The 19,024-nt window shown below is 38.2% G+C and overlaps 1 protein-coding gene, 1 long non-coding RNA gene and 2 pseudogenes across 3 annotated transcripts in view, besides 2 other annotated features; 2 read left to right on the top strand and 2 right to left on the bottom strand.

Annotated features, from left to right (window-relative positions):
• The window catches only part of OFD1P5Y (OFD1 pseudogene 5 Y-linked), a 41,669-nt pseudogene extending 31,912 nt beyond the window's left edge, over positions 1 to 9,757 (top strand).
• Positions 5,015 to 5,768: a recombination feature, noted in NCBI's record as "recombination_hotspot; A01756/A01184 sub-region, recombines with A01756/A01184' sub-region within the AZFc P1.1b recombination region". NCBI's record gives the evidence for it as "EXISTENCE:polymerase chain reaction evidence [ECO:0000082][PMID:17877719]".
• Positions 5,671 to 5,672: a recombination feature, noted in NCBI's record as "recombination_hotspot; WHT2825 sub-region, recombines with the WHT2825' sub-region within the AZFc P1.1b recombination region, resulting in a large deletion together with a 31 nt insertion". NCBI's record gives the evidence for it as "EXISTENCE:nucleotide sequencing assay evidence [ECO:0000219][PMID:12297986]".
• TTTY9B (testis expressed transcript, Y-linked 9B) lies at positions 6,646 to 15,961 on the top strand. Its single transcript, NR_002159.1, has 5 exons — positions 6,646 to 6,787; positions 8,461 to 8,561; positions 8,923 to 9,036; positions 9,619 to 9,755; positions 14,819 to 15,961. It is a non-coding gene; the product is annotated as a testis expressed transcript, Y-linked 9B (long non-coding RNA).
• Positions 8,204 to 19,024, bottom strand: part of HSFY1 (heat shock transcription factor Y-linked 1) — a 59,321-nt gene continuing 48,500 nt past the window's right edge. The window contains exons 5-6 of one of the 2 annotated variants that reach the window (NR_003510.1): positions 14,409 to 14,494; positions 8,204 to 8,631 (exon numbers count right to left, since the gene is read on the bottom strand). Coding sequence is in view for 1 of the 2 variants with exons in the window: in NM_152584.1 (NP_689797.1) it covers positions 8,533 to 8,631 (99 nt within the window). In the remaining variant the exon portion in view is untranslated. The remainder of the gene's footprint in view (positions 8,632 to 14,408; positions 14,495 to 19,024) is intronic. The other variant, NM_152584.1, reaches the window with a different exon arrangement.
• On the bottom strand, positions 18,407 to 18,942 carry GPM6BP1 (glycoprotein M6B pseudogene 1; annotated as a pseudogene).

Raw genomic sequence — 19,024 nt, 5'->3', positions numbered from 1 at the left:
GGATGGTGTGGGGAAGTGTGTGAATGGAGAGGCCTAACTAGGCTCATCAGCCACGAAGTGAGGAACCACAAGTCTCTTAGTGAAGACTGTACTCCAAGCCAAATGTGTGGCTGACTAAGACTAGTTGTGATCCGCATATGGCTAACGGAAGCTACCTCACAACTACAGCACTTGTGGTGGGCTTAAGAAACTCTCCAAATCTAAGTGATATCTAAAAACCCCCATAATAGGACTAGGTCTAGCTGGTGCAAAACAAAAGTAAAAAGTGAGCACGAGTGTACTGCATCATAACTGGGAGAAAATGGGAAGAGAGTCATCAAAACATATACCATTCAAATATATGCTAAAAAAAAAAAATGAGAAAGGTTTTACGGGGAACTATAAAATTAAGCTAACCCCCCAAAAGTGAAAAACTTTCTGTAACCTAAAATAGCCCTCTTTTGGCGTTAAATAGATGACCCAAAAAGACTACCCAGAGAAACAACTGGAAATGAGTTTGAGGTAATGACAGGGGTCCAAGGACAGCCAGGGCACCCAGGCCAATTTTCTTATATTTACTCATAATTACATATAATACAAACAGGAACAGCATGTACCGAGCCCTGTTTAGCTGCCTACTGATAAACACTTATAGCGCTAGCTGAACCAAAAGTGAAATAAAAGCAGCTTCATCAGCAAACACTCAGTTAAAGGAAAAGTCCTCAGGACAGCAAGAAAAACCAGTTTTACAAAAGCCAGAAGAGGAAAATAAATTTCTCCTGCATATATCACAGCCTACCTCCCTTTGCTGAAGCCAACAGTCCCCCAGGAGCCTGGTTCCATTGCCAGCATTCCCCAAGTTTCACCACAGAGAGAAGAATCGGAGACTTGAGAGGCCAGGGAAGGAAGTCACAATAGTCAACCAGGCTGTCTCAAATCTGGTCATCCTCAAGCTATGCAACTGCCTCTCAGGGAAATATGAGGACTCATCTACTATAATGACCAGCGCCACATCCAGGTTGTGGGGGGCAAGAAGCCTTCCTCTCTCAGCCCTTTTCAACCACCAATCTACTAAATTTAAACCATCACACTCCCTCCTACAGGGAAAAGCCCAAAGCTCTCATAAACCTATTGCAGTCCATCTTTCTATCACACAATCCAACCTGGCTAAATTGCAGGCAACTTCTCTTAATGTTGTTTAATACAAAGGAATGCCAGGGGATAACTCAGGCAGCCCTTCATTGGCTAGAAGCCAATGCATGAGCAAACACAGAAAATGCTCAGGCATATACTCAGGATCAGTTTCCAGAAGCAGGCCTCAACTAAGACCCAGATAACGCAAGCCAGCATCAGTGCCTGCAGAGGTACTGGGAGGCACATTTGCCAGAGACAAAAGCTTGTGGAAAAAAAAGAAATTAATATAAAAAAATTCAAAATGCTTCAGAAAGATAAAAAACCAAGCCAGTTTTATTTAAACAGCTTTGTAAAACAATCTGGTTTTAAACCCCATTTGACACTGAGGCTACTGAAAATTAGCACATGGTAAACACAGCATTTATAAGACAGGCCAAGGGTGACATCCAGCAAAAGCTGCAAATGCTACAGGGTTTTGCAGGCATGAATACATCCCAGTTTATAGGAATGGCTGTCAAAATATATGTTAACTATTACCAGGAAGTAAAAAAAAAAAAAAAAAAAAAAAAAAAAAAAATGTAAATCACAGGCTAAAAAAGAGAGGCCAATCTCTTAGCAGCACTTTCATTAAAAAAAAAAAAAAAAAAAAAAAAAAGTGACCAGGTATATACAAGGACATGGACTTGCATGTGCATGTGAAAGAGGTCAAGTTAGTCCAAAAAGCCAGTTGAGGCTAAAGAGAGAACAATATGTGCGATGGGAAAGAAAAATATTGAAAGAATAAATGTCCAGAAGGGAGTAAAAAATATAATAAGGACTGTTGTATAAAAAAGTCACCAGCTAAAGGCTGCCTCAATGTGGTAAAACCAAATACTAATCTAAATAGGCTGGCTTGCACTAAAGGATATAGCAACTAGGAGAGACCAGGCTCCTTCTTACTACACTTCCACGAGCCCATGGTTACATTAAAAGTTGAAGGCCAGCTGACGGACTTTATGGTAATCACCAGGGGTACACATTCAATAGTCACTCAACCCATAGGGCCGTTATCCAAAAGCAATAAAATTATTATAAAAGCCATGGGAGTCACAGAGAAAAAGCTGTTCTGTCAGTCAAGGAGGTGTGTTATAAAAGGCCAAGAAATCCAACATGAATTCCTATACCTCCTGAATTGTCCAGTTCCTTTGCTAAGAAAAAAATTTACTCCAAAAACTGCAAGCACAAATTGCTTTTCATGTGCAAAAAGTATAACGTTAAATCTGACTCACCCAAAAACCCTGGTGTTAACATTTATCATCCTGCAGGCTAAGAAATGGAAACTTTATACAAAGCAAGTGCAAGCAGCAGATTAGACATGCAGGTGCAATGAAAAAACCATTCTCTCAGTTACTTAATACCACTCCTGGAGTATGGGCTAAAGACACCCCACCTGGGTTAGCTGTAAATCATGCACAGGTGGTAGTCCTGTTAAAACCAAAAGAAACTCTGACTTATGTTTGACAGTACCCAGTCCCCCGAGAGGCTATTCAAGGTGTCTGTAAACATTTAAACCCACTTTACCAACATGAAATCTTTGTTTGATGTCAATTGCCCTAGAACACTCCACTTTGGCCAATATGAAAACCATTGTCAGGACCAGGGTCTAATAAGTATAGACCAGTGTACGACCTGTGTGCCACAAACCGGGCCACAGTGACCATCCATCCAGTGGTACCAAATGCATGTATTTTAATAAATCTCATTCCAGCATTGCTACCTGATTTACAGTCCTAAACTTAAAGAATGTTTTCTGTTATATCTGCTTAGCCCAAGTTAATCAACCTATATTTGCCTTTCAATCAAACAAAAAAGCTATGCAACTCACCTGGACCAGGCTCTCACAAGTTCAAAGACTCACCCCCAATCTTTAGGGAAGCACTGACCTTAAAGCCTACAACCTGCCAAAGGATAACTGTGCCTTGTTGCAGTATGTAGATGATCTTTCTTTAGTAGCACCAATCCAGGAGGGCTGTTATCAAGAAACCCAAGACCTCCTCTATCTCCTATGAAAAACAGGTTACAAATTATCTCAACAAATGGCCCAATTTTTCATAAAAATTTCAAATATATAGGTTTCATTGTAAGCCACGTGGAATGCCACCTTGGCCATAAGTGGAAGCAGGCCATTTGTACACTCCCAACCCCAACCACTAGGCATTAAAGAAAACAAATTCTTAGAAGCAGAAAAATTCCACCATATCTAAATCCCAAATTTCTCACTGATGGCTAAGCCATCATATAAAATTATGAAGGGGGAAAATAAAGAAACCCTCCTCTGGAAAAGGATCTACAGCAAAAAGCATTTAAACAAATTAAAAAAAAAAAAAAAGCCTTAACTCAGGCCCCAGCGTTTGGACTGCCAAACATAACTAAGCCTTTCTTTCTATACATCCATAAGTGAAAAGAAATGGCTTCAGTGTTCTTAACCCAAATTATAAAATTATAGCATTGTCCAGCGGCATACTTAACTAAACAATTAGACTCTGTGGCACTAGGATGGCCTCCTTGCCTTAAGGCATTAGCCACCACTGCCTTGCTAACACAAGAGGCTAACAAACTTAATTTGAGACAGCAGCTAACCGTCCAGGTGCCACACTCAGTCGAAACATCAATGAGCCAAAGAAGGTCCCACTGGTTATCAATTCTGAGAATAATGCAGTACCAAGGGCTTCTGTACGAAAACCCTTACATTACTTAAAAAGCAGTAAACCCCTTAAGCCCAACCACGCTGCTCCTAGTTGAACCTGAAGCTCCCCTCCATAACTGTGTCTAAAAAGTGGATGAAATATTTTCTGGAAAAGGAGACCTTACAGATCAACCCCTCAAAAACTCAGATGTTTAATACTTCATAAATTAAAGTAGTTTTCAGCTAGAAAAATATCCAACAAGCAGGGTATGCAGTGGTAACATTAAACTCAATGGTAGAAGCTCAATCTCTGCCTACTGGAACATGAGCCCAAAAGGCAAAATCAATAGCCCTACCAAGTGCCCTTTTGCTACCAAAAGACAAAAAGCTGAATATTTATACAGACTCTAAATATACTTTTACAACACTACATGTTCATAGAAATGTGTATAAAAAGAAAATCTCTTAACAGCTGGAGGCAAAAAAATAAAGTACTAAGAAAAAATTCTACAGCTCTTAACAGCTGTATAGGCTCCAGAAAAAGTAGTAATAATGCATTATTGGGGGCACCAAAATGCAGGGACATCAAAAGCCAAAGGAAATAGGAAAGTTAACAGGAAGGCAAAACAGGAAGAAATAATTATGCCATAATTTTTAAAAGAACCTTAAATATGCCTCTCATCCCAGAACCTCCACTCCAAAATATCCCAAGTTACACTCCAAATGAGAGGGCCTCGTTTATCAAAAAAACTAGAAAATATATTAACAAAAATTGATAAAAGTTGTATAACAGTAAATTAGCCATTGCGGAAATAATTTTTCAAGCAAATTATACAAAAAACTCATATGTGAAAAATGGCACTAAAAACTTACTGAAATGCCACTTCTGCATGCCAGAACTCACTGCCATCATTCAAGGTGTTTGTGAACAAACTTAACTTATATCTGGGGACCCTGCCCCCAATATTTCAACATAGGTTCTTTTTATATTTCTAAGTGTTGGCCAGCCTGAGAAATAAAGAGAAAGAGTACAAAGAGAGGAATTTTACAGCTGGCCCACTGGGGATAACATCACATACAGGTAGGACCCTGATGCCCACCTGAGCCACAAAACCAGCAGGTTTTTCTAAGGACTTCACAAGGGGAGGCGGGTGTACAAACAGAGAGTAGGTCCCAAAGATCACACTCTTCAAAAAGCAATAGGAGAACAAAGATCACATTCTTCTGAGGCCAATAAAGACCACAAGGCAAAGGGCAAAGCAAGATTACAAGGCAAAAGGAAAAATTAGAATTACTGATGAGGGTCTATGTTCAGCTGTGCACTTATTGTCTTGATAAACATCTTAAACAACAGAAAACAGGGTTTAAGAGCAGAGAAATGGTCTGACCTCAAATTCACCAGGGTGGGGTTTTTCCCCACCCTAGTGAGCCTGAGGTTGCTGCAGGAGACCAGGGCGTATTTCAGTCCTCATCTCAACCGCATGAGACAGACACTCCCAGAGTGGCCATTTATAGACCTCCCCCCAGGAATGCAATTATTTTCCCAGAGGATCAATTATCAATATTCCTTGCTAGTAAAAGAATTTAGTGATATCTGTCATACCTGCACATTTATAGTCCATTTATAGGCTCTCTGCAAGAAGAAAAATATGGCTCTTTTTGCCCAAGCCCACAGGCAGTCAGTCTTTATGGTTGTCTTCCCTTGTTCTCTAAAACTGCTGTTATTTGGTTCGTTTTCAAGGTGCACTGATTTCATCGTTTTCAAACACATATGTTACAATCAATTTATACAGTAGTGGTCCTGAGGTGACATGCATTCTCAGCTTACGAAGAAAACAGGATTAAGAGACTAAAGTAAGACAGCTGTAAGGAATTATAAGAGTACTATTAGGGAACTGATAAATGTCGATGAAATCTTCACAATTTATGTTCTTCTGTCGCAGCTCCAGCCAGTCCCTCCATTCAGGGTCCCTGAATTCCCGAAACAAACTTATGCTCAAAACAACCCAGGGCAAGGGCCTACCCAGCCCCCAGGGATCTAAAAAATAAAAGCTATGCCTTGTAAAAACTTACTTGTAAACTTCACAAAACTGTCCCATGTCAGGTGCTATTGTTTTATACTAGCACTTATTTACACCTTTTCAACATAGGTTAAGGTTTTCCAATGAGGACTGAAAAGGCAAAAAAGTAGTTAAAATACTGTTTAAAAACATTATCCCCAGGTTTAAACTGCCTCTAACTTTGAAGTCAAACAAGAGTTTAGCAATTATAGTTGAAATAATTTAAAATCTAGCAAAGTTGCATAAAATAAAATGAAAGTTACACACAGCCTACCAACAACAAAGTTAAAAAAAAAGAAAACCAAATGCATAAACAAATCACTGAAGCACTTACCAAAAGAAATTATCACAAAAATCAACTATAATAAAATCAAATCCTGCCCATGGTGTTCATCCGAGTCAGGTGCACCCCCACTAAACAAACTAGGTATTCACCCTATAAAATTTTTTTCAATCAGCCACACCAAATCTTAGGTCAAATTAAAAGTAATCTCTGCAAACTAAGGAAATTAATCTTCAAAAAGCAAATGCAGGTTTTAAAAATAGCCATGTGAAGTATTCAGCGTCAGGTACATTAAGAAATGCGTATTAGCCCGACAGGCCCAGCATGCTTCTTTAAACCTAACTACTCTCTTTGGGTTAAAAAATGAAACCCAACTTCTCTAGAACCCATAAGGGATGGGTCCCATTTTGTAATCTTATCCACTCCCACTGCTGTTAAAATTGCAGGAATCATGCCTTAATCGATCCATCATGGTTTGCTGAAACAGGCAGCTAATCATGCAACAAGACAGAGTTGTCACTGAGAACAACAGCCCTGCTCTGGTCCCTCCAAAAGCCGACGAATCCACACAAGACTAAAGATGAAGAAGAGGACAACAAGCCCAGCTCTAATCACACTCCAGAAGATAACTAGTCTACGCACAGCCAAAACTTAAAAACTCATCAGGCAAGTTAAATATAATTAAAAATCTTAAATCTAATTTTCACTGTAATACTAATTATTTTACTGTTATTCTGTCACTATACTCAACCTCCTCCCCTGGGTATGAATCTCTTCTAACCACACTAAACATAAATATGCTACTCATTGCTTTGCTGTTATTTCCCCACTTAACCTTGATAAAAAAAAAAAGTACCCATAAAAGGATTCCCAACTTCTACACATACTACATAGTCCAAAAACAATATGACCAGGCATACTGCTACTGAGTTAATAGCCCTAACTAAATATCAACCTTTGACCAAAGAAGAAAACATGCTTTCCCATAAAGAATAAAATAATACGAATGCCTTCTATTAAATTTCTCCTATAAATGGTATCAAAAAAAAATAGAAAAATGTGACAAGACACGTATGACAAAGAAAAAAAAAAACAAGTATTTTCTCCATCTATCTAGCTCACTTCAAGGACAGTCATAAAATAACAGTGTCTAAAAAGTTGAGGCCAAGTGAATGGGTTGCAAATACCCCTTACTGGAGCAAAGTTGAAATTAAAAGCAAATTACTTTACTGTCTCTCCTTCTTCTGAAGCATTAATTATGACTATGTTTACCAATGCTTGTATTTAGTAAAATTTGTAGGTTCATTTTTCTTTCAACACAGCTGCAAAACCCAGCTATGCAAGGCAAGATGTTATGCAAAGTCAAAAGTTATGCTATAAATTACATAACCTTTCATTGTATAATCAACTGCTTTACTTCTGCTTCTGAAAGTTTGCTTATAAAGAGCCCTGCTCAGTCTTTATTCAATACTCAGCCTTTTTGGTTATAAGTTCGCTGAGCTGGTGCACATAAATAAATCCCCCAGTTTCCCCACATCAACCTCTCTAGTCTGCTGTTTCCAGCAACACCAGTCATGTTTCCAAAGCTTTTTCTTTTTTTGAGACAGAGTCTTGCCCTGTCACCCTGGCTTGAGTGTAGTCTCACCTTACTGCAGCCTCTGCCTCTTGGGTTCAAGCAATTCTCCTGCCTCACCCTATGAGTAACTGGGACTACAGACACGCACCACCATGCTCTGCTAATTTTTGTATTTTTAGTAGAGATGGGTTTTCACCATATTGGCCGGGATGGTCTCAGGCTCCTCACCTTGTGATCTTCCAGCCTCAGCTTCCCAAAGTGCTAGGATTACAGACATGATCCACCACACATGGCCAGGTGTTTTTTTTTTTTTCTTTTTTTGTACTTGTGATAAGCCAAAAGGAAGGATAAAACATACACATATGCTGAGTAGGGCACTCTAATCACTCAAGTTTTTGCTATTGCCACCTCAGCTGGTTCATGCTGGTAATATGCAGAATTTTTTTAGAAATGTTTTATTACTATTGAAAAATGAAACTCCTCGGAATAACATTCAGAGTCCAACATTATTCTTCTTTAACAACTGTATTGCCTACTTCACAGCATAACATAGTTACAGGGAGTAACTGAGTAAACAGGTGTCAATTGCTGAGAAAAATACCTCATTGTGGTGGTGAGGTGGAGTTAATCTTTACAAAAAAAAAAGAGAAAAGGAATTTTTCAGAGCATTTTCTTGAGTAACAGAAGGACTTTTGCCACCTGACGCTCTTGGCTTTTCCATTACTAAAACATCACATTCTTGAATTTTATTCTTCCAATCTAGTCTTTCCCAGAGACAGATTGAACTTCAAGGTAAAAGTGAATTTTCAGATGCGGACAAGCTAACTTCTAAGGATTATGAGTAATTCGACTCATCTTTTAAATGTAAGTTGCAACATAAATACCTGTTTTCATAAGTTGAAGATCTGGAAAGTTTCATTTTGGTGAAGCGTATCTATTGATATAAAAACAAAACAGCAGTTAGAAATTGGATCATTTTTATTCTGTGACAAAACTACAAATACAGCTATATCAGCTCATTTTTCTATCATGAAGTTTTTGTGATTGTGTCTGTTTACTTTTAAAGTATTTCAGCATGACTAATTTTAAAGTTTGAGCTAAGCTCATAAATACATTAACTTATAAGATTTAAAATAAGTGATTTTAAAATATGTATTTCTTCCTTTATATGGAATACAAGGATGTTATTTTTCTTTAAATTAACTGATTCTGTTGATTTCCTCAGATCCAGAAAACCTCATTTTTAGTGAAAGAGTGGAGATAAAAGAATATTAAGAGTCCAGAAACTGGTGTTCTGGCTGTGGCCCTGCCTTAGACTGTCTCACTTTGTAGTCACTTTGTAAGTGTAAAATAAGCATGTAGAGCATATCATCTCTGTGGTTCTTTCCAGCTTGAGAAATCTTTATATTTGTATGTAACCCATTGGTTAGTCTTGTAAAAGTCATCTTCAAATCTGGAAGTATAATATTTTGAAAAGTCAATGAGAGGGCTCCGTAAATTTCGTGAATATCTGTTAAAGTATTTGGGTGAAATCACTGACATTTCAAAAGAATTCAGATTATTGTCAACAAGCCATATGGATTCTTCACTGTCACTGGGTTGACTTTCTTGTTGGGAAATCTAGTTTTGTAAACAAAGTTAATTCTTTTAAGTACAAGAAGACTCTGACAAGCTAATACATTGGCAAGTGGTTATGTTTGGAAATTCACAAAATCCGCTCAGGAAAAAGTCCACCTAGTTACTTTGGCTGCAGTTCCCATGCTCCAGCCAGTTGCCCCCACATGGCACTGTGGCCCTCCCACACTGTCATAAAGCCTGATATGCTATTCAAAACCCAACTGAAATGCCATATCCTCCTTATTTCTGAAGGAGGTTATTGCTAAGGAACGACTCATGGGAAAACCATTTGTGCCTCATGCAGATGCAGGAAACGTGCCCGGGCATCTTGAAATGGATGAGTTCTCTTCTGGAGATATGTCTCATGTGTACGCATATCTGGAGATATGCCTCTTGTGGGTGCTGCTGCAGCTGCTGTGCCCATCTCATATCAATACCCAAGTAAGTTATTTATTTTAACTAACAGTCTGCAGGGTCACATCTGTGTAATGTGTACTCTGTGAATTATTTCATGTATCACTGAAGGTCTTTTTGTAGGTGTAATCTAGTCAAAGTATTGGTGTGGGGTTTATAGTGTCGTTATGTCGTTAATGACGTTTCTGAAGTAACTTCTGTGTTATCTTGTAAAGACCATGCTGAGGAAAGCACACGTTGCAATGAAGGACTTCTCATTTTGGCTTCCGAGATGAGTTTCTTGAAAGTGTTTTCATTAACTATTCAGTGTCTAGCATACTAGGTAGACTTTTCCCCAAAACTCTTTGGCAAAAACTATTTCATGAAGGCCTTATCATCTTGAGAGATCATGATGAAACACTGAAATAATAGTTAACTCCCATTAGAGAACTTTATGTGATTGAAACATTTAAATATTATTTCTTTTTCCACCTATATGCTTCCTTCGTGTCTTAAGAAATTAGGGAAAATATTTGTATTTTAATTTTTGGAAAAGCTGTTACGCTGAGTTAACTTAACACTGGAGAAAAACTGGCCATCAGACTTCTCTTGTCTGGCCCACTTTCTCAATCCAGTCTTCTTTCAGATTACCCACTTTCCTTGCTGGAGGTGCAGGGAGACTGGAAGAGAGCTGTGGGAGCTTTGCACTTTGCTCTAGGGCTAAGCAAACAGCCAGGCTCTTTTGTTTTGGGATCAAAGTGTTTAATTCTCAAACACGAAAGAAAATTTCTCAAGTTAAACCACACTTTCTTCCCCACAAATATTGAAAATGCATCATCTTCAAAACATTTCCAAAACCTCTTGTTAGCAGTTTCTTGCTTATAGTCATGGCACTCGAGAACATACAGAATTACTTAAAGAGGCAAGGGGTTTTGAGAAGTTGGACTTTGCTGATTCAAGAGTAAATCTGCTTTGGAGAGCATTCAGAGAGATTTTATCTAAAGCCTATCTCTCCTTGGCACTTTCCTTGGGGCTGAATGCACAACAGTGAACCCAACCAAGCCCTTGTCTTCCTGAATTTCTAGTCACTGAGGCAGATTGCCAGGAAGACATTACCCAGGAGTGCAGAAGAAATGGGCTGCAGCTGATCATTAGGGAAGGTGGCCCCAAGAAGGAGTTTCTGACAGGCAGCCGTTTGTCCCAGGCCTGAGCAAGGGAATGAAAATAATGTGATAGAATAAAGAAAATCAACTGAGTAGTGAGGTGTTCTGCCTCTGAGAGAGAATGTACATTATCATACTAGCTTTAAAATTATTAAGGAGCATAGTGAGTAGCATTGTTGTTATTGAGAAATTTTTATATTCATCATTTCACCTCTTCATCTGGGCACAGATGGAATGGAAAAGGCTGCAATTTGGTGTCTCTGATATGAGGTGCCCAATGAACATACTTTATTCCTTTGCCTTTGTGTCCACAGAGGTTTCTGTATTCCACCGTGCAGGTGCAAAACATACACCAGAGCAGAAAAGCAGTTTGTTCTTCCTCTTTGTTTCTAAATATAGAGGTGCTTAAACAACATCCCTATTTTGAGATTACTATTCCATAAAAGAAAACAATCTCATCTTAGAGTAACTTTCACTTCTTGTTCTAGCAAAGAGAAAGTTGCCTTTCTGCCTGCAGAAATTATCAAACGCCTCTTTTGTATTTTAATTTCATGAGAAGGATTGAGAAGAGATGGGGGGTGGAGAGAGAGGAAAAACTGTGTTGCTTCTCTCTTATTCATGAAATTAACTCAGTCACTGCGGATGAGTTTAAAACAAGGCAGAGCAAGAAGGTTCAGAGTCCTCTGGTAAACCTATGAATTTTTCTTCGTATTAGCATTTCTAGCTTTAAAAACATCGGTTATGTGTCAGAACTGTAAGAGAAAGGTCAGCATAATTGTTTCTGAGAATGATGTCTAATGAAACATTTGAGATGTAGGGATCTGTGCCAAGATGCAGAGAGAACAGACAATTTACTAAAATATGGGGCTTCACTGGAAAAAAATAGAAGTGGACAAAACAAGTATGTGTAGGTTTTCAACAAGCAGGTGCAAGATATGGTGTAAGTAAGCTGCTGGAGTGGTTTGGTTACTTGTCCCTTCAGAAATAAGGAGGATATGGCATTTCAGTTGGGTTTTGAATAGCATAACAGGCTTTATGACAGTGTGGGAGGGCCGCAGGCCGAGGAGACAGTAAAGGTGAATACCAAGCAAGGAAGACATAACCATGGCCAGGCCCCAGTGAGTGGGTTGAGACAGATGAAATATTTCTAGGTCAAAGCTGGTGGTGTTATAGGAAATCAATATGGAAAGATAAAGGCAGATTTTTGGAGCCCAGACTACCATGGTGTTGAACTCTAACAGAGCAGAGACACTGCACAGAAGATACACACCTTCCCCTCAGGAAATTCCTGGTGCAAATGACCACAAGTTACTAGAAGGCAGAGACTGACTTCACGGAGAGTCTTGACTGGGTGGGCTCTTTAAGTATTCCAGGGAGATGGTGAGAAAGGCCCCTGGTGCAGCTGAATGACAGGGAATGTGAACATGCCAGCACTGGTTGCTAGATGGATGGAGGATAGAAAGAGCATGAGAAAAACAAACAAACAAACAAACAAAAAAACTGGGATGATCCCACCCAGGACAAAGCTGGTGCTGTGAGGATTTCACATGTATATGGCAGGAAACTGTCAGAACTGTGGATGTGAGGGCAGGTAGAGAGACCAGCAGTAGAAGAAAAGATACGGAAAGGATCCATATCTGAGTAATCGTGAAAAACCCAGGAAGGACTGCCGTCCATTTGGTGGAAGTGGGGAATGAAAAGTGAGTTGGCTAGAATGTCTGGGGGAGTGCAGGTGTGTGATGTCTGTTCTGTTTTTTCAGGGGAGAACAGACTTGAGCACCTTTATGAGAGTAAGAGTTATAAAACTGCTCTGTACAGAAATAGGGATCAGTGGCTCAGTCAGGATCCTAAAGTTAGGAGAGGGATTATAATCAAAGGCAGAGGCAGAAATGTAGGCTTTGCTTTGAAAAAGGGGAAGGAGATCCGTGTAAAGGACAAGAACTTGCGACATGGAGGGAGGATATGTCACTTGGAGTCGGTCATGATGAGGGTGACTACAAGTCACCCTGGGATGAGTACAACTCATCTCAGCCAAGTGAAGTGGGATGCAGTGGCAAGGAGCGGGATTGGGGGCTTGAAGTCGATGAACATGGAACAGCGACTTGAAGTAGGTCACGTGTCAAACAAAAGCCAAGCAGAGTCTCCCCGGGTCTTGGCAAGGACTCCTGCAGACTGGTCTCACATTCATTTGAACAATCTGATACGGGCAGCTACTCTTTATTTTCTGAACTGTTAGGTATAGTTCAGAAACCAATTGAGGAACAAAAGCAAGAAGAAAAAATATGGCAACAGCAAGTGAAAGAACAAAGGCAGAGAAGAAAAACGGCAGAGTAACCTACATTTTAGCAAGGGAACAAAGGGAGCTAGAAAATCTAGATCACAAAAGGGTAATGAGTTGCTTCTCTGTACAAGTTCCAGCATTGTACAGCTTTCATAAGTACGTTGAGGTCAGGGAAGGGAGTCAATTAGTGTCCAAAGTCAGAAGAGTGGCATGTGCCCTGAAAGGCACCCCTGTTCTCTTCTTGTCTTACAAGCAGTAAGAAAGGCTGCACAGAATATGGAGCTTAGGAGTTTCATAGTATATGACTGTTTTTGAAGGTAATTTTTGTGCATTCTATTTGATCCTTAAATAAGTCTGTAAAAAATGTAGACTGTGCTTTGCTTCAGAATGTTGCTTTGAAAACAGACTTTAAAGAAGAGGCTGTCAATGTCAGCTAGCTGGCATCAGAAGACCCCAAGGGCGGACATGGCCGCCAGTCCAAGGCTGCTTCCAGGGGCATTTGGTGCCTCCCTTTTTCCGCAGGTTCTCTTCCCTTCTGGGTTCTCATTCTTGTCCTATCAGATGGATTACTCTGTCCACTTAACACAGTTGTTAAGTCTTGCTTGAATTACCATAACACATGGATGTTCCCTGGATTCCTGGTTAATTCAGATCTAAAGCATAGGACGCTTGAGGGAAATTCATCGCTCCCAGCATTTAGATGATCTATTTGTTTTCCAATGATGACAGCAATGACTTTCATTACAAAAACTTACTTCACTAGCATACATGCTGTGGGTGGGGGACACACAGGGCTTCTGTGGTTTATTTTAACTCCTTGGAACAGGAATCCACATCTGAGTAATCTTTCTCCTCCATTGAAGACAAAAAGGTGGAAAGCATAAAAAATCTAAATTTCACATGGAACCTTGAGTCATTTAAAGGTAATGCTGTTTTGAAAAAAATTATGGATTTTTTTTCTTAAGACAAAGTATTTAATAGGTTTTGGTTTATCAATGTTTGTAAAGGTAGGGTTTTTCATGTTTTTTAGGAACAAGAAAGAAAACAACTATTATCATATAACAAGTACATATGTACTGACATTAATATTTTATATAAGTCTGAAGTATCATGGTGTTAAATGCATACCTGATCGTTTATTTTGATGTGCTTGCTAAATTTTGTATTTATCAGTCACAACGTTTTTAGGCTTTTAAATGACATATATGTTTCAAAAATGGTTCTTAGAGAAACTTATATCATAAAATTAATACATACCAAATTTCAAAAATCTTCCCTTTCTGCCACATAATCAGAGCTCAAGAAAGGTGGTTCAGGAAGGCTCCCTATAGACATGCTTCAATCTACGGAAAAAGTTGAAATGGACTTGGTTTCCCAACACTGTGTTTTATATGTGAACAGCTAATCGCTCATTGTGTCAGCTAAAGAAATGGATAGAAATTTGAGGTTGCCCGTAAGAAGTTATTGAATCAGTCAGAATTACTGACTATAAAAAGAATGGATTGATATTTTTAACGTGTGAAATTGTTCCTAATGTAATTTATAAGCTAGGCCAGAAACTCCCCAGGATATAAGTTGAAACCATTATAAAGATACCAGAAAAGTCCGACACAAATTTTCAAAATTTTTACCCTTTAATTTTTCTCTTTCCTTTGTTAATTTAACAGGCTTTTCTCATGACGAACCAGATGACTCTTGGTAACCAGGTTTGCTCCCCAGCTTCTAATTTCAATATGATGAGAAGTTACATAACATTTACTCCTTTGTAAAGGTTTCTCTGTCATCAGACAAAACTCTGAATAGAAACCGGTGGGTAATCCAGTGTACTGGTTTTTCCTAATGTATTTGGTACTATAGTGTATGAACCGAGAATAATCGAGTCAAGTGAAACCCCCTTTTCCAGTCATAAAATGTCTCATTCATTATACTAAAAGGAGCTGTTCTTTTAAAAAAGCCTTCTTATTTTTCTACTAAATTTTTAGATAAGTATAACCTACTATATTCCTCAAATCTAGGCTTACATTTGAGAAGGGTAAGCTGTGTTTTTTCCTCCGAAGAGTTGGGCTGTGATCTTTACAACGAGACGTCGTTTTTCCCAGCATATTTCTGTTTTCTACCTAAACATTAAGATACACATTTTTCTAGGCATTAGAAATAGTACAATATTGCCTGTGGTCTTTCCATTTGACACCTGTGGCTGGAATATATGTGTCGCTCCAGAATTTATATGTTGGAATTTAAATGCCCCTGTGTGATAGAATTAAAAAGTGGGGACTTTGGGAGGAGGTTAAGAGTGCAATTAGAGACCTTATAAAAGAACTCAATGGAAGTAGCTAGGCTTTTTAGCCCTTCCACCATTAGAGGACACTGTATTTGTCCTCTCTGGAGAACACAGCAACAAGGTGCCATCTTGGAAGAAGAGACCCACCTTCACCAGACATTGGACCTATTAGTGCCTTGATCTTGGACTTCCCAGTGTCTAAAACTGTAAGAAATTTATTTCTTTCCAGTTTCATAAGTTACCCAGTCCAAGGTACTGTGTTATAGCATCAGGAACATACTGAGATGGCATATTTATTGTGGAAATTTTGGTCCTCATACTTAATGAATGGGCTTCAAGTATTTCGTTAGTTTTTAAAAACAGGGCTCCTCCTTTACAATTGATCTCATTTTTATTTTTTAAAAGTTAGCTTTTACAACATAGAACTGGAAAAAATCTCTACTCAGACCTCTAGAGTGTCCTAGATTTTGTGGCAGAATCACTATGGATAATTTATAGGTGCTTGTGATCTCATCTGTGTATTATTTACAGTTTCCTCTATCTATTCATGTGACAAATAATTGCACAAAACGCTACTTAAACAATAGGCAGTAAGCAGTGTGACAGATAGCACACTAATTGAACTGCTGACGGTTTTTCTGTCATGCCAGAATAAAGGGTGATGATCCAGAGTCAGCACCTCAATTAGGAGTGGCCATGTGTCAGTAGTGACAAATCCTAGGCCTCACTAAGGAAGGTCAGATGCAGAGAATCCAAATTCAGAATTATGTTGACAGATAAGGAGTTCAAACAGATTATATAATAAAATTCTGAGTAACATATTTAGCTCTGCAACTCTAGAGAGTGACAGAACTGGTTTTCTATATATTTCTGAGTAAATCTTTCCATTTTTATACCTTTGATTTGAAAAATAAACAACTACACACAGGCCTTGATCGTTTGTAATTTGCAAAAGTTCAAGCCTTGTTAATCTCGTAGGTAGGTGGCATTTATTTATTTCAAAACTAATCAGAAAAGCTATTACTTTCTACAGAAAACCACAGAAGTGCTAGGGGCACTTTTATGCCCAATACAGCCCAATAGGCTATAATATTTTCTTAAATTGCTGAAGAGATTTTTGCCAGAAATAAACAAAGTAGCGCTCACGGACTTGATTTCCACACCAATGTGCAATCTTTACTATGCACATTATTCCAAAGTGACACCACACTGAGGACAAAGAAAGATTGGATGTACATATGGTAAAAAGGCAAGTGAATGAAGCTATACTTTTATTTCATTTCTCTTACTACATCCGCTACTATTTTCACCAATATAGATCTTTAAGCATACACAAATATTGACTATTATCTACAATTATTTATTGTAACACTTGAGTAGAACTATAGGAAGCCTTTGACACTGATTGAAAGTATGGATTCACTGTTAGGTTACAAAAATTTATACATAGCAAAATTTAATTCTCTTTACATTAAAAATACTAGGCTACATAAACAAAACTTTCAAAAGTTTCTGATAATAGCTACCAGAATTAGAAATGTAAAATTAGGCTCAAGACACTAACTCTTCTGGAGTACTGGACTCTGAAGGCACCACCATTGCTGGAAAGAATAGTTAAATCTGTCATGCAAGAGGAAAATAAAACACGTAGCTATTTTTAGAATAGCCATTCTGTACAGAAGAGCGCTTCTCCCAGTTAAAAGAAAAAATCCCAAACAGGTGTTTTTATGGAGTAACAAAAAGAAAAAGAAAAAAAAAAAAAAGATCTGCTGATGTATGATACCTGATGTTCAAATTTAATAGCATCCAGATAAAAGTTTACTTTTGTTAATTTTGAATATATTTCTGCATTGTGGTGTTCTAAAACCCAGGAAACAGCCAAATCACAAGTTACCATTTAACATAAACATACATAGTGGATCCTATATTAAGCAACCCATTTGGAAAGCACTGATGTACCCAACAGTTACATATAGCATTTCATAAAGAACTGCACGGAGTTTACCATTGCTAACACCCAGTACCTATAGTCACCTAATGTCTGGAACACAGTAATGCAGATGGCAAGTTTCTTTTGAAAATGACTTAAGTAGTTTTCTTGTGGAACATCAAACTTTATTATTCCAAGAAATTAAGATATAGGTAAGAAAAAATGAAATGCCAACCCTAATTTAAATTATCTACATCTTCAAGTCTGTTAACAGTAGGAGGTTAGATGTCTGTGGCCAATTTTAAATTAGGTTTCAGATAATTGATATGAAACTGTTTACACAGACCACTGAAAAATGGTTTAAAAAGGTGGTCGTTTGAGTAAGGTAACAATTCTTAATTAAAAAAAAATATACAGAACAAAATTCTATTAAAGATATTTGCATCTCTGGTTATGATACAAATTCTGAAAAATGTATATACCAAATACTCCTTAAGGCAGAGCTGACATTTAACTCTTGAGGATAATAAAAACTGGATCAGTATTTTGTTGAAATAAAACTTATGATAAAAGTGCCTCTGGAATTCTTGTCAATGAATCCGAATCCAGATTCTTTAGTAGTAGGGTCAGCAAATGGAGCTAATTTTAGCATTATTGAAAAATATTTTCTTATTGGCTGAGGAAATTAATGGAACACGGACTTGGGAGAGAAAGCTAGTACAAAAAGTCAATCATGAGACGAATCACACTACCTTTGAGCCAAAGTTTAATAAATGTCAGCAGTCAGAATTGAAACTGCACAACAATTTCAGTTTATTTCCTATGTAGATAACACTTAACTGAGAATAAATGACGTACATGTAAATGTATGGTCTCATCTTTTGATGCCGGCATGTCACCAGTCCATATCAAAGAGTACCACATATTACACTGAGTGTTTTGGGAGAAATGTTCTAGCAGTAAATGTGAATGTGCCCCCAGTTTCCAAAGAGTGAAAGGTCATTTTGTCAAAGTGTTGCCTTTTAAAATGGCTAACATGAAACTTCCAATATTTGCTCTAAAGAAAAAGATTTCCTCACTGCAAGGTATTCCAGGCGCTGCATCCCAGCAGCTTGAGAGAGAAAGTGAGGTGTTTGAATGTCTACATTAGTTTGGTGGAATACTCATGTGTAATGCAGAGCAGCTGTCTCATAATTTGTCAGGGCTGTAAATGCATTGACTGAAAGCCCCCCGGCAAACATTCGTGTGTAAGAATTGAGTTACTTCTTTTACTGAAACTGGATATATTGTAGTTCCTGTTCTTTCTTTGCTTTGATATCCTGGTAAGCCTGCATTTTGCTGGCATCCAAGTAAGACCAGTTAGAAAACAGTATCATGAGAAAGTGGATCTGGAAGAGAAGGTTGAGCATGATGTCTAGTGAGCATGTGAGAAGGCAAAACAAAGTGCTAGTTAGATGAGACGTACTTGATGTTAAAGGGGAAGAGGGTTATTCTGTATTAATACTTGCTCTGCTAGCAGAGCTAGTAGAATCCTAAAAGTGTGCTCTACTACTTGGCTTCACATTAAAAAACTGAAGAAAAGTAAGTACACAAACATTGCAAAGTCTTTCTATTAACTCTTAAATGTCTGTGTACTCATCAGTCTCGGTGAGTAATATAATA

This window comes from Homo sapiens, chromosome Y (genome assembly GCF_000001405.40).
Source record: "Homo sapiens chromosome Y, GRCh38.p14 Primary Assembly".
Taxonomy (NCBI): domain Eukaryota; kingdom Metazoa; phylum Chordata; class Mammalia; order Primates; family Hominidae; genus Homo; species Homo sapiens.
Note: the sequence above shows the minus strand (reverse complement) of the source record. Positions and strands in the feature narration are given on the sequence as shown.